This window comes from Homo sapiens, chromosome 22 (assembly GCF_000001405.40).
Source record: "Homo sapiens chromosome 22, GRCh38.p14 Primary Assembly".
In the NCBI taxonomy this organism is placed as follows: Eukaryota; Metazoa; Chordata; class Mammalia; order Primates; family Hominidae; genus Homo; species Homo sapiens.
Window position 1 is genome coordinate 46,753,666 of NC_000022.11, and position 13,442 is coordinate 46,767,107.

Genomic DNA, 13,442 nt, shown 5'->3' on the forward strand with positions numbered 1-13,442 from the left:
CTGACCCGCAGGCTCTTAGGATTGAGGCCCAGAGAAACGAGGTGTTTGCAGTGTCTCAAAATAAGAGACCACTCCCCCCAGTCTCTCTTTCCATCCAGTGCCACACTGTGCCAGGCAGGCCATGCCACCAGAACCCAGGAGTGTCCCCTCCCCACCAAAGTGGCCTTCTGCAACTGCAGGGGGCTCAGCTTGGAACCAGGATGCCAAACCGTGCACAATCCCAGCAGAAGTGTGGTGCCAGCACCTTGCCTGCCTTCTCCCCTCACCCTCAGGATGTCCATGCCTGGGATGCCACATGGGCAGGCCCTTTAGTGCCAGCCTCCCCACGCCATGCACCTCTGGGTCTATGTCCACCCAAAAGTGCCATTCAGGCTGGGGCCGCAACACACTTTCCATCCTGGCCGCCAGGCTCTGATGTCATAAGGGCACAGAGTTCCCAGGTCTGTGTCCCCAGTTCCTAGCAGTCAGATATCTGGCCCAGTCAGATATCTGGGAGATGCCTGCTCTCCGGGCCACTTTCTCTTCTGGTGTTAAGTGACAGACCAGCTCCTTCCTTCACTCTAGCAGCTGCGGGAAGTCCAGGGATGACACAGCACCATGGGGCCATAGGGCCTTCCGGTTGCCACTCCAGGCCAGGCTTCACGTCACTTACAGACTCACTCCCTACTCTGCGGTGTCATATTTGCTCAGAGATTTTGGTTTACAAACTGCCTTCCAGTCCTTTGTCTCAGGGGATTCCCATCATGACTCTGGGAAACACACAGGGCAGGTGTCCTCATCTCCATTTTACAGGTGGGAAAACGGGGGCTGGCCGTGTTTACAGCAGAGTGTGATCAGTCACAGGAGACATGAGGCCAGGATGCAGCTTGCAGACGGCCAGTCTGGGCTCCCTCTGATGTCTGCTGTCCTCTCTCTATCCTGCCTGAGTCACTTTGGGTTGGACTGTCCATGAGTCACGGCCGACTGTGGCTCCTGCACGTTTGCCAAGGGGGTGGGGACCACGTGCTGCAAAGGACCATGGGAGGAAATGCCACAGCTGGTTGTGTTTCCGATTAGCAGTGGGACTGTGGCCAGGGCCCGGCAAGGTGAACTGGACAGTGAGTGGGCTGTGGGGTCAGCAGCTGGACTCCAAACCCTGTTCCCTTCACTCTAGCTGGGGGACTTTGCCTCTTGAAGCCCCTACTTTCTCATCTTTAAAATACAAATCATGATACCCACTGTGTGCGCCATCCCCTCCCCACCCCCACTGCCACCCCCTCCCTCCCCACCGCTGGGCATCTGGTGAGGGGGGATGAGGAGGATGCTGAGGATGCTGGAATTTGCTGAGCTTGAGAGGTGGAGAGGGTTGCAGATGCACACGGGAAAGGGACTGAGAGGCCTGCAGGTGAGGTCTGGGCAGGAGGTCTGCAGGAGCATGGCAGAGGATCAAAGGTGATGGAAGGGGCTGATGGTGGCTGTGAAGGGTGCGATGCATCTCCAGGGTGCATTTAGGAGGCTTGTTTGCATGAGCCGTGGCATAATGGCCCTCCTCTGTCTACCCTGAAAGCCTCCGAAAATCAGTCTTATTCTTCAAAGCATTTGGATTTGCATTTGTTGTTTTTCCTGGATGTGAAAATAATTGATCAATTTTTGGGGGGTGGGGGTGTCTTTTTAATTTTTTTTTTCTTTTTTTGCATCTAAGAAAGCATTTGGGCGGCTCCTGCCTGTAATCCCAATGCTGGCCGGGCATGGTGGCGCGTGCCTGCAATCCTAGCTACTTGGGAGGCTGAGGCAGGAGAATCACTTGAACCTGAGAGGCAGAGGTTGCAGTGAGCTGAGATCATGCCACTGCACTCCAGCCTGGGCAACAGAGTAAGACTCTGTCTCAAAAAAATAAAATAAAATAAAATAAAAAATCCTAAAGCTCCAACATAATCCTTGACTCCACATCCTGGATCCTGGTGCAAGGGGTGGCGTCCCAAGGCCTTGGGCAGTCCTGCTTCTGTGGCTGCTCTATGGGTTGGGGTGGAGTGCCTGCAGCTTCTCCAGGTGTAGGTGCAGCTGCTGGTGGCGCTACCATTCTTGGGTCTGGAGGGTGCAGTCCCCTTCCCACAGCTCCACTAGGCAGTGGAGTTCACTACTGTGAACTGTGTGTGGGCCTCCAACCCCACATTTCCCCTCCATACTGCCCTGGTAGAGGTTCTCTGTGGGGGCTCTGCCCCTGGTAGAGGTTCTCTGTGGGGGCTCTGCCCTGGTAGAGGTTCTCTGTGGGGGCTCTGCCCCTGGCGGAGGTTCTCTGTGGGGGCTCTGCCCCTGGCGGAGGTTCTCTGTGGGGGCTCTGTCCCTGGTGGAGGTTCTCTGTGGGGGCTCTGCCCCTGCAGCAGGCTTCTGCCTGGGCACTCAGGCTTTCTCATACATCCTCTGAAATCTAGGTGGAAGCTGCCACCTTTATTCCTGCATTCTGTGTGCCCACAGGTTTAACACCACATGGAAGCCACCAAGGCTTATGGCTTGTATTCTCCAGAGTGGTGGCCCAAGCTATACCTGGGGCCTTTGAGCTACAGGCGGAGCTGCAGCAGCTGGTATGTGGGGAGCAGTGTCCATAGGCTGAGGAGTGTCCTGGGCCTGGCCCCTCAAACCATTCTTTCCTCCTAGGCCTCTGGGCCTGTCATGGGAGGGGCTGTCTCCAAGATCTCCCAAATGCCTTTGAGGCCTTTGTTCCATTGTCTTGGATATTAGCACTTGGCTCCCTTTTAGTGATGATAATCTCTCTAGCTAATGGTTGCTCCCCAGCCTGCTTGGATTCTTTCCCTGCCACATGGCCAGGCTGCAAATTTTCCAAAATTTCATGCTCTGCTTCCCTTTTAAATATGAGCTCCAACTTTCCTTTGCTCCAATATATGATCATTGGCTGTGACAAGCAGGCAGGCCACCTCTTGAATGCTTTGCTACTTAGAAATTTCTTCTGCCAGTTACCCTAGGTCATTACTCTTAAGGTGTCTTTACAGCAATGCCCTGCTTCTTGGTACCAGTTTTCTGTGTTAGGCTACTTTTGCGGTGTTTATAAAGGAATACCTGAGGACGGGTAATTTATAAAGAAAAGAGGTTGAATTGGCTCATGGTTGTGCAGGATGTACAGGAAGTGTCGTGTTGGTCTCTGCTAGGTTTCTGGTGAGGCCTCAGGGAGCTTTTACTCATGGTGGAAGGTGAAGCGGGAACAGGCATGTCACATGTTGAGAGCAGGAGCTAGAGAGCTGTATTTCTTTTGAAAACATATTCTTTGATTTATTTATAGTTTAAGATAAGCTTGAAAAATATATACTTGGTTTAAACAATCATACCCATTTCCTATTGTGGTTTTCTACTTCCTTATTTGTAAGATTCCCATATATTAACCCTTTGTCAGACATAGCACATATATTTTGTCCAATTAAAACATTTTTTTTGACAAACAAGTAAACATTTTAAGTTGTCAAATCCACCAGTTTCTCTCAACATGGCCTTTGGTGTTGTAGTGGATATTGGGATTGTTCCTGGATATTGGGATTCTAACCCTCCCTTGTTGGGCAGCAGCCACAAAATTTGGAAGGATTGACTCTCATTGCCAGCTACAATGGAGCATCTGCCAGGTGACAGGTCCCCAAATGACACTGGATGACCCAGCTCTTCCCCCTCTTGCTTAGAATTTTTGGGCAGAATATACAGAGGTTGCAACATCCTGAGATAAGGTGGAACTGTCCCGAACAGCTCAGGCTTTGTGCTCATCTCCCCTAGATCAGGATGTCCTGCAATGCTGTAGCCCAGTGGACCCAGTTGCATTTGGGGTAGAGAACCCAGAGTAGAGTGTGCTTTTCACGCCCCTCAGCTGTGGTGTGAAGTGGGGGCACCTGCAGACAACACTCTAGTGCCCTGGGTAGCTTTCCTGATTGCTGGTGGACTGGCTCGCCATGGATCCTAGGCTTGGGTTGATGTTTGGGGCCTCTCTGTGAATAATAAAGTTGCTTTGTCTGACGTGTTTTGCAGGTGTTCTGTTTTACCAGACTAGACATTAAGAATGCAGTGGGTAGGCCAGGCGCGGTGGCTCACGCCTGTAATCCCGGCACTTTGGGAGGCTGAGGTGGGTGGATCACGAGGTCAGGAGATCAAGACCATCCTGGCTAACATGGTGAAAACCTGTCTCTACTAAAAATACAAAAAATTAGCCGGGCGTGGTGGCGGGCGCCTGTAGTCCCAGCTACTTGGGAGGCCAAGGTAGGAGAATGGCGTGAACCTGGGAGGTGGTGCTTGCAGTGAGCCAAGATTGCGCCACTGCACTCCAGCCTGGGTGACAGAGTGAGACGCCGTCCCAAAAAAAAAAAGAATACAGAGGGTGGAGGTATGACAGCTGCAGCAGCTAGGTCAGCTTTGAGCCCCTGCCAGAGTCAAGAACCCTTGCAGAACTCTGGCTGCTGGGTTTGTGCAAAGCCTCCTGGCAGTCTTAGGAAACTCAGCAGAAATTGGTGAGGTGTTTAAGTGTGCTCTCCTGGAATTGGTAAGCAATGTATAGTGCTCCCTTCCCGGGGACTGATACTAGTTCACAGTATTTCTGCTCTCTAGCATCCTGACTAGAGGTAAGCACATGATCCCAGGGGCCCAACAGAGGCATCCTGTGACCTCAAGGGGAAGTTGTCCTTGGCAAAGACTTAAGAGACTGACAGAAGGAGACAGGCCCCTTGGGTCATTGTTGAGCTGCTGTATCAGCCCTTCTCCAAACCTTCTGAGCTACTTCTGGGCTTTTTCATTAACCAACTAATTCCCTTTGTAGTATAAGCTAATTTGAGCTGAACTTTGTCATTCTTGCAACCAACAGCACCCTAACTCATCCTGACTTAGTGTCAGGAAATGGCACGTTGCTAGTCCCTGTAATATAAAAATGGCTGAAAGGAGTTGGGGAAGGGGGCAGTGAAGACGACGCCTGCCTCTCGCGGTGTGAAACTGGGGACCTTTGCTATATGCCGTCTATTATTGTGGTAGGCTGAATAATGAACCCCTGAAGATATACCAGGACTTAATCCTGGGACCTGCAAATGTTACCTTAAATGGCCAAAGGGAGTTTGCAGGTGTGATTGAGCTAAGGGCCGGGTGATGGGGAGATCAGCCTGGACCGGATTATCCAGTGGGCCTGACGTGAGGTCAGAGGGATCTAGGAGGAATCGGAAGGAGAGAAGATGATGTGATGATGGCAGTAGAGATTAGAGTGATCTGCTTTCCAGACAGAGGAAGGAGTGTCGGCCAAGGAATGTTAAGTGGCCTCTAGAAGCTGAAAAAGGTAAGAAACTGACTCTCCCCTAGAACCTCCAGAAGGGGGCAGCCTTGCTGACGCTTTGAGTTTAGTGCAGTGAAGTGCTAAGACTTTGGACTTCTGACCTCCAGGATTGTAGGAGGGTAAATGTGTATTGTTTTCAGCCGCTAAGTCTGCAGCATTCTGCCAACAGCAGCCTTAGGAAACCAATACAGATAGAACAGTCAGCTTTTTACTTTGGGGCACAGGCTCGGTGCCTATGGACGGTACAGCACCAGGAAACTTAGGAGGCAGAACCCACCAAGTGGGAGTGTGGCAGCTCACTCAGTAAGGTCCTGTGAGAGATATTCTAAGCCCGGAGCAGGCCATCTGAAAGCAAAGAAAGCAGAAAACACTTCCCGAGGAACCCAAATGGCATTGCAAATCCAGCCATCCTGAAATACTATCCCAATTTTTTTTTGTTTGTTTTTTTGAGGCAGGGTCTCACTGTTTTCTAGGCTGGAGTGCAGTTGTGTGATCCTAGCTCACTGCTGCCTTGAACTTCTGGGCTCAAGTGATCCTCCTGCCTCAGTCTCCTAAGTAGCTAGGACTAAGAGTGTTTACCACCATGACTGGCTAAAAGAAAAAAAAAAAAGTTTCACAGAGATGGGGTCTCCCTATGTTGCCCAGGCTAGTGTTGATCTCCTGGTCTCAAGTGATCCTCTCGCCTCAGCCTCCCAAAGTACTGGTATTATAGGTGTGAGCCACTGTGCCTGGCCTGCTGCACTTTTGTTTGCCTTATCATGTAGTTCAATGTAGCTCAGTGCATAGCACAGTTCAAACTCAATAACTATATTTTAATGTATTATGAAACATTTTATACATGTAAAAACTCATAAAGAATATAACCAACACCTGAATATAGCCCATCTGCCTTAGGAAACAAAGCATAATAGCACAATTGATCCGCTATGAATGAATTCCTTCCTGTTCACAGTCCCCACCTGTACCTATAGGCAACCACCCTCCTGAATTTATCTTTTACCATTCTGGTTTTTTTTTTTTTTTTTTGAGATAGGGTTTGGCACTATCGCCAAGGCTGGAGTGCAGTGACATGATCACAGCTTGCTGCAGCCTCAAACTCCTGGGCTCAAGGGATCCTCCTGCCTCAGCCTCCTAAAGTGCTGCGATTACAGGCATGAGCCACCATACCTGGTCGCATTCTCATCCTTTAAAAGAAAATAGTACTAAATGGTATCATACCATGTGAATTAATATTCAACTTTTTCTCATTCAACACTGTGGAGTCAGGTGCGGTAGTGCTTGCATCTGTACTCAGCTACTCAGGAGGCTGAGGTGGATCACTTGAGCCCAGGATTTTGTGGCCAGCCGGGGGAACATAGTAAGCCCCATTTCAAAAACAACCCCACAGTTTGCAAAATTCATTTATGTTGATGTATGCAACTAATGTATTCATTTTTACTAACTTATGGTATTCTACTGCATAACTGTGTAGATTATCGATTCTGCCATAGATGGCATTTTGGTTGCTTCTCCCCCAGACCCCAACTACCACTAGAAGCAACGTTGCACTGAACATTCTTGTGTTTGCACGCATAGGCAAGGTACTCTAGAGCACATACCAAGAGTGGAATTGCTAAGTTATAGAGTATCTTTGCTAGAAATTGCTAAGTGGCCATCCAAAGTTAGTGAATGAACGTACACTCCTACTGGCAGTGCAAGAGAGTTCTGCTCTGCTCACAAATCCACATCCTTATTAAGTTTGGTAAAGACAGGTTTTTAAGTTTTTGCCAATCTGTTAAGTGTAACATGGTATGTCCTTAGTTTTAATTTGCATTGCTGCTCAATACTTGTTGCAAAAATGAATAAAAAATGTTCCATTCCATACCTCTGGGATTTGAGAATCTGTCCCAATTCCTAGGTCCCATATGTAGACTCCAACATCTGTATTACTTTGGCTTTCAAAACTGGCCTTCTACTCAGACTTTCTTTTTCCATCTTCACGTTTCTGTTGTGATCCTAGTAATCCTTTGCTTAGCTGGTTTTGAAGCCTTCAAGTCAATCTCAGCCTCACTCCTTCGCCTGAAAACAGTAGCTAGCAAAGTATACGGTAAGCTATAAAAAGCACCCGGATCTAAGGTGTAACCAGTCACTAAGTGCTGCCAGTTTTTCCTCTGTCAATTGTTTCAGTTCTTCCTTCCTTTCCCCTTCCATCAGGTTAATCCTGCTGTCACCTCGCTCACTGGTTCTTGCAATAAGCCAGACTGAGCTGGAAAGAACCGCCATGGTCCTCAGTGTTGTCTGTAGGGGACCTCACTGTCTGAGGCTGTCAGGGCTCTGTCAGGAGGAGACCCCTGGGGCCTTCTGAGCCCTACTAGGAGAGGATTCTAGGAGAGTAGGACGCCTTGCACATAGTAAGTACTAAGTCAATGTTACTTACCAGTAAATGAAGAGGCATGGGAAATTGTTATTATTTTTGAGACGGAGTTTCGCTCTGTCGCCCAGCCTGGAGTGCAGTGGCACGATCTGGGCTCACTGCAAGCTCTGCCTCACGGGTTCACGCTATTCTCCTGCCTCAGCCTCCAGGGAAATTCTTAATCAGAAAATATGTCTTAGATTTTTGTTTTAAAAGAGAACTGGCAGGAGCTCCAAATACACTAAAGCTCCAGTCTGAAATGACAGTCCCTGAGCATTCAATCTTTGGTCTAAGAAGCACAGAAATGTAATGCAAACCAGACACGGTTTTTTTAGTGATTTTCTGCACACACACACACACACACACACACACACAGTAAAAAGATCTAGTCATAACGTGTGCACCTGCAGTTCCAACTACTGGGGAGGGTGAGGCAGGAGGATCACTAGAGGGCAGGAGTTCGAGACTAGCCTGGGCAACATAGCAAGACACCCACCCCCAGTCCCCCCCGGAAAAAAAGAATAAAAAAGGTAAAAATAATTTTAAAAAGAGTAAAAGGAATGTAAAAATAATTTTAATGCATTTTATTTAATCCAATACATTAAAAATGTTACCTAACATGCAAACAATATACAAATTATTTTATACGACGTCTTTGGAATCCTGTATTTTACACGTAAAGCGCATCTCACTCCGGACTAGCCAGGTTTCAAGCACGTGATAGCCGCACAAGGCTGGAACCCAGGCCTGGGGAATTAATTCTTGTCCTCGGTGCTCAAACCATTCTTCCCTTCAAGCCTGGCCTAATCCCCAGTCTCTCTCATCTCTTCGAATACGCTCCGCGGTTATGCCCCTCACCTCACTGCACTGCAAATATTTCGTCCACTGAGTATTTGCTGATCGTCACTCAGTGCCGGGTGACCCAGCTTGACCAGCACCCGCAGCCGCCCTGCCACTGTTGGGCCGGGTATGGTGTGTCTGGCTTCCCTCTGTTCTGGGCCGGCTCCGAAACGCGCTCAAGAGAAATCGGAATCAGACACGGGGCAGTTCAGCTTTGGAAATGAGGAGCTCGAGGCTCCTGGGAGTCCGTTGCGGGCAGGTGGGCGCCGCTGTTGTGTCGGGAGAGCCAGGAGCGACAGACTCAAACTCAGAAACCCAACCACCTCCGCTCCCTCCGCGATGCGTGTAACGTGCGTTGCGCGGCGTCGCCCTTTAATAACGACGGGCGCTCGGAGTGCTGCGTCACTCGCCACCAGGGACTTAGGCGGGACTTCCGGGCGCGCGTAGGCACAACTTCCGGAAGGAGGCGGAAGAGCTTCTCGGCTCTAGGCTCTGGAGTCCCGGGAGCAGTGAGGGGCCACCCGGGGCACAGGAAAGGGCCGCTAGGGGAGGGCCGGGTGCACTCGGGGTGTCTGGGCCGCGGGTCTGAGGGATGAGGAGGGGCCATGGCCAGCGACGGGGCCAGGAAGCAATTCTGGAAGCGCAGCAACAGCAAGCTCCCGGGCAGGTGGGTGTGCCGCGGAGGGCCAGGTCGGGGTCAGGGGTCAGAGGTCAGGTGGCCGCGTTGGCCTCCTGGGCTGCGGGTGGAGTCGGGGGTCTGGAGAGGGCAACTTGGACTCTGAGGAGACTGCTGGATGGTGTGACGGGCGTTGGGGGGCTCGGAGGTCGGAGCGTGGGGTCTGGGGGTGACAGTGGCTGCACGTAGGATCGAGGCTTGCAAGGACGAGGAGGAGCTATTGGCGTTTTTCCTGACACTGGCAGGCTTCTTTCCGAGAAACTCCTGGGCTCCTTGGGGAGGCTGGAAGGAACTGATTCGGGTCATGCTGTGAAGTTTGGTGGAGTCCGGAAGCTGGCCGGGCTGAGGCCCCCCGTCTGCTGGGTGGATCAGTTTCTGCAGGGGGTGTGGTGTTTTTGACCCACTTGATTTGCCTGTGGTCTCTTGAGGGCTGCGGCTCTTGCCTTGAGCATAGAAGAGGACTAGAGTTTCCCTGTGAGTTTCCATGTTTCTGCTTGCTGGTGTCAAAACCACCTCCTATGTTGTGTTAGCAGGAAGTTTTTTTTTTTTTTTTTTTTTTTTTTTTTTTTTTCTTCGGCTGGAATGACCTGGGTACACCCTAGATGCTATACAGCTCCAGAGCTCCAGAGTCCTTGTCTGATTGCTGTGGCGCTGAGCTATGCCAGGGCCCTAGGGAATGAGACATTACGTGGAGGGTACCTAGGATAAAATCAGCCACTGGTGAAAACAGATCAGAGATAAGCAAACGTCAAGATTTCAGAACATAGTTCTGTTCCAAAGCTGAAGTCTGGAATGCTGAAAATTATGAATTGTGTTACGAAGATAAGTCTGAGTAGAATCATTCATAAACACAGTAAAATGGTTTGTACTCCTGTTTCATAATAAATATTATTGTTTGAGTGTTTGAATGATAAACTTTGGAATTTACTGCATCCAGTTAGAAAAGTTTACTTTTGGCCAGGTGTGGCGGCTCACGCCTGTAATCCCAGCACTTTGGGAGGTCGAGGTGGACAGATCACCTGAGGTCAGGAGTTTGAGACCAGCCTCACCAACATGGAGAAACCTAGTCTCTACTAAAAATACAAAATTAGCTGGGCATGGTGGCACATGCCTGTAATCCTGGCTACTTGGGAGGCTGAGGCAGGAGAATCACTTGAACCTGGGAGGTGGAGGTTGCAGTGAGCCGAGATCGTTCCATTGCACTCCATCCTGGGCAATAAGAGCGAAACTCTGTCTCAAAAAAAAAAAGGAAAGTTTACTTTTAAGAGTGATCTGGGGGTTAGCAGCGTGAGTTACTGACAGCTCAGACAGTGGCTTTGAGAATGAAGGGAGTCATCAAAGGTGGCCGGAGACCCTATTCGACTCCACAGGACCGTGCTTGATTCGAGAACAGTAAGACCTTTCAACAAAACCAGTGTCAGGGTCCAAGGTGAGTGAAGATTCTGGAATGGTGGTGGGTAGGAGGTCCTGGTAGTGACAGGAACAAATGCTGTAGAACATAAGAGTCCAGGGAAGAGGAGCCACATGACAGTGTAACTTTTATGTGTTACTTTTAGGTCTTAAGGTTTTGGTTCCTCATCAGTCTAAACTCTAATTCTTAATCAGCTTAGATGTAAGAATAACAGAGCTGCTGTGTGGAGTTACAGCAGTGACTCAACCTTTGGATTGAAGGCTGTGGCTCTTGGTAATTTGTCCTTATACTGAGTTGAATTTATGTCCATCTGGAAACTATGGATGTGACATTTGGAAATAGGGTTTTTGCACAAGTAATCAAGGTAAAATGAGGTCATACTGGATGAGGGTGGGCCTTAGTTCGTCAACTAGTATTTTTATAAAAAGAGGGAAATTTGAATACAGAGAGACACACACAGGGAAATGGCCCTATGGAGACAGAAACAGAGATTGGAATAGTACATTTACAAGCCAAGGAAAGCCAGGGGTTGCTGGCAGCCACCAGAAGCTAGAAGAGGCAAGGAAGGATGCTCACCTAGAGACTTGACAGAGAGCATGGCCCTGCAGATGACCACTTGATTTTGGGTTTTTGGCGTTTAAAACTGAGAGAGAATAAGTGTCTGTTGTGTTAAGCCATTCAGTTGGTGGTAATTTGTTATGGCAGCCACAGGAGACTAATACAGTCTCCAGCTTTCTTCTGTGTGAACCTGAAATACCGAACACCAGCTTTCCTTTTCCTCTGACTTTGATGCTATTCTGTGTCTTAGGCACTTTTGAGAGCAGCTTCTGTATTACCTTTGTGAAGTTGGAGTCTTGGAGAGTTCGAGGCTGTCACTGAAGAGGGCAGAAGAAGAAGGAGAGGTTGGGTGCACCAGGAAGGCCTGTGAAGCCTCTGTGTCTCCCATCCGTCTTGTGGCTCAAGCCTCTGGCAGTGCTGCTCTTTCAGGTGGCAGGCTGGAACTCTTCCCTGAAGGAGGAGTCACAGAGGGGTGCCCGTTTTCCTATCAGTAGTGGTGATTGGTCACTAGCTGCGTATTTATTTAGTCCACACCTATGCAAGCACAGTGCTAGTGGAGATCCTAGCCAGGTTCCTGTGGCTTTGGCAGCTCTTTCAATTGTTTCCCATGATTGTTTTCTTTCTTTTTTTGTTTTTGTTTTTGTTTTTGTTTTTTTTGAGATGGAGTCTCACTGTGTTGCCCAGGCTGGAGTGCAGTGGTGTGATCTTGGCTCACTGCAACCTCTGCCTCCCAGGTTCAAGTGATTCTCCTGTCTCAGCCTCCCAAGTAGCTGGGATTACAGGCGCCCACCAGCACGCCTGTCTGTTTTTTTGTATTTTTAGTAGAGATGGGGTTTCGCCATGTCGGCCAGGCTAGTCTCGAACTCCTGACCTCAGGTGATCCATCCACCTCAGCCTCCCAAAGTGCTGGGATTATAGGCGTGAGCCTCCATGCCTGGCCTTGTTTTCCTCCTTTTTTTTTTTTTTTTTCTGAGACAAGAGTCTCTCTCTGTAGTCCAGGCTGGAGTGCAGTGGCATGATCTCAGCTCACTGCTACCTCCACCTCCTGGGTCCCGGTTGAAGCAGTTCTCCTGCCTCAGCCTCCTGAGTAGATGGGATTATAGGCACTGGCCACCACGCCCAGCTAATTTATGTGTGTGTGTGTGTGTGTGTGTGTGTGTGTGTGTGTGTGTGTGTGTGTATTTTTTTTGAGACGGAGTCTCACTCTGTTGTCCAGGCTGGAGTGCAGTGGTGCGATCTCGGCTCACTGCAAGCTCCGCCTCCCGGGTTCACGCCATTTTCCTGCCTCAGCCTCCCGAGTAGCTGGGACTACAGGCGCCTGCCACCACACCTGGCTAATTTTTTATATTTTTGGTAGAGACGGGGTTTCACCGTGCTAGCCAGGATAGTCTCGATCTCCTGACCTTGTGATCCTCCTGCCTCGGTCTCCCAACGTGCTGGGATTACAGGCTTGAGCCACTGTGCCCGGCAATTTTTGTATTTTTAGTAGAGATGGGGTTTCACCATGTTGGCCAGGCTGGTCTTGAACTCCTGATCATGTGATCCACCAGCTTCAGCCTCCCAAAGTTCTGGGATTACAGGCGTGAGCCACCACACCCAGCCTTGTTTTCCTCTTTGTTTTTGAGTGCAGCCCTCATCTCAAGGAAACTCAGGAGGAAGACTACACCCACTGTACAATACAAGACTAGTAAGGGATCTTTCAGATAGTTCAACTCTTTTTTATTTTTGAGATGGAGTCTCGCTCTGTCGCCCAGACTGGAGTGCAGTGGTGTGATCTAGACTCACTGCAATCACTGCCTCCCGGGTTCAAGTGATCTTCCTGCCTCTGCTGCCAAAGTAACTGGGATTACAGGCGCCCACCACCATGCCCAGCTAATTTTTTTGTATTTTTAGTAGAGATGTGGTTTCAACATGTTGGTGTGGATGGTCTCGATCTCTTGACCTCATGATCCGCCCGCCTTGGCCTCCCCAAGTGCTGAGATTCCAGGCATGAGCCACCGTGCCCGGCCCACACCTCCTGTTTTTATGCAGCCTGAACTAAAGTCCCCCTTTTTTGCATCAAACTCAGTGTTGTTGGTGCCTCTGGCTTCCTGTTCTCCCTGGTATGTGCTTGCTTTCACTAGTGAGATCCACAGGTTTAGGAAAAGTATCTTTCTCATTCTTGCATTGTCAGTACCGATACCTGGTGTTTATTCCGAACTATCTCCTCGATTAGCCTGGAGAGTGAGTGGTTTGGCCAGGGCTATAAACTGCAGGAGAGGTGGTCTTGCTGGTAGACCCT

At 49.6% G+C, this 13,442-nt stretch overlaps 1 protein-coding gene and 1 long non-coding RNA gene across 19 annotated transcripts in view, besides 8 other annotated features; one reads left to right on the top strand and one right to left on the bottom strand.

Annotated features, from left to right (window-relative positions):
• Positions 485 to 661: a silencer, noted in NCBI's record as "fragment chr22:47150047-47150223 (GRCh37/hg19 assembly coordinates)". NCBI's record gives its function as "represses an EF-1alpha promoter that drives an FKBP-Casp9 reporter gene in an ReSE screen in HepG2 liver carcinoma cells {active_cell/tissue: HepG2}" and the evidence as "EXISTENCE:reporter gene assay evidence [ECO:0000049][PMID:32094911]".
• Positions 8,032 to 8,866: an enhancer, noted in NCBI's record as "H3K27ac hESC enhancer chr22:47157594-47158428 (GRCh37/hg19 assembly coordinates)". NCBI's record gives its function as "activates a minimal SCP1, AML or CMV promoter by ChIP-STARR-seq in naive H9 embryonic stem cells {active_cell/tissue: H9 hESC(naive)}" and the evidence as "EXISTENCE:reporter gene assay evidence [ECO:0000049][PMID:30033119]".
• Positions 8,246 to 8,863, bottom strand: TBC1D22A-DT (TBC1D22A divergent transcript). The gene has a single exon (NR_186691.1). It is a non-coding gene; the product is annotated as a TBC1D22A divergent transcript (long non-coding RNA).
• Positions 8,603 to 8,732: an enhancer, noted in NCBI's record as "active region_19250". NCBI's record gives its function as "activates an Ori minimal core promoter by ATAC-STARR-seq in GM12878 lymphoblastoid cells {active_cell/tissue: GM12878}" and the evidence as "EXISTENCE:reporter gene assay evidence [ECO:0000049][PMID:35858748]".
• TBC1D22A (TBC1 domain family member 22A) overlaps positions 8,985 to 13,442 on the top strand; it is a 413,050-nt gene continuing 408,592 nt past the window's right edge. For 17 of the 18 annotated variants that reach the window (XR_007067971.1, XR_007067970.1, NM_001284304.2 and 14 more), the window contains exon 1: positions 8,985 to 9,183. Coding sequence is in view for 14 of the 18 variants with exons in the window: in XM_017028742.3 (XP_016884231.1) it covers positions 9,122 to 9,183 (62 nt within the window). In the remaining 4 variants the exon portion in view is untranslated. 18 annotated transcript variants of the gene reach the window in all.
• Positions 9,433 to 9,512: an enhancer, noted in NCBI's record as "active region_19251". NCBI's record gives its function as "activates an Ori minimal core promoter by ATAC-STARR-seq in GM12878 lymphoblastoid cells {active_cell/tissue: GM12878}" and the evidence as "EXISTENCE:reporter gene assay evidence [ECO:0000049][PMID:35858748]".
• Positions 9,633 to 9,692: a silencer, noted in NCBI's record as "silent region_13917". NCBI's record gives its function as "represses an Ori minimal core promoter by ATAC-STARR-seq in GM12878 lymphoblastoid cells {active_cell/tissue: GM12878}" and the evidence as "EXISTENCE:reporter gene assay evidence [ECO:0000049][PMID:35858748]".
• Positions 10,443 to 10,512: an enhancer, noted in NCBI's record as "active region_19252". NCBI's record gives its function as "activates an Ori minimal core promoter by ATAC-STARR-seq in GM12878 lymphoblastoid cells {active_cell/tissue: GM12878}" and the evidence as "EXISTENCE:reporter gene assay evidence [ECO:0000049][PMID:35858748]".
• Positions 10,553 to 10,632: an enhancer, noted in NCBI's record as "active region_19253". NCBI's record gives its function as "activates an Ori minimal core promoter by ATAC-STARR-seq in GM12878 lymphoblastoid cells {active_cell/tissue: GM12878}" and the evidence as "EXISTENCE:reporter gene assay evidence [ECO:0000049][PMID:35858748]".
• Positions 10,653 to 10,702: an enhancer, noted in NCBI's record as "active region_19254". NCBI's record gives its function as "activates an Ori minimal core promoter by ATAC-STARR-seq in GM12878 lymphoblastoid cells {active_cell/tissue: GM12878}" and the evidence as "EXISTENCE:reporter gene assay evidence [ECO:0000049][PMID:35858748]".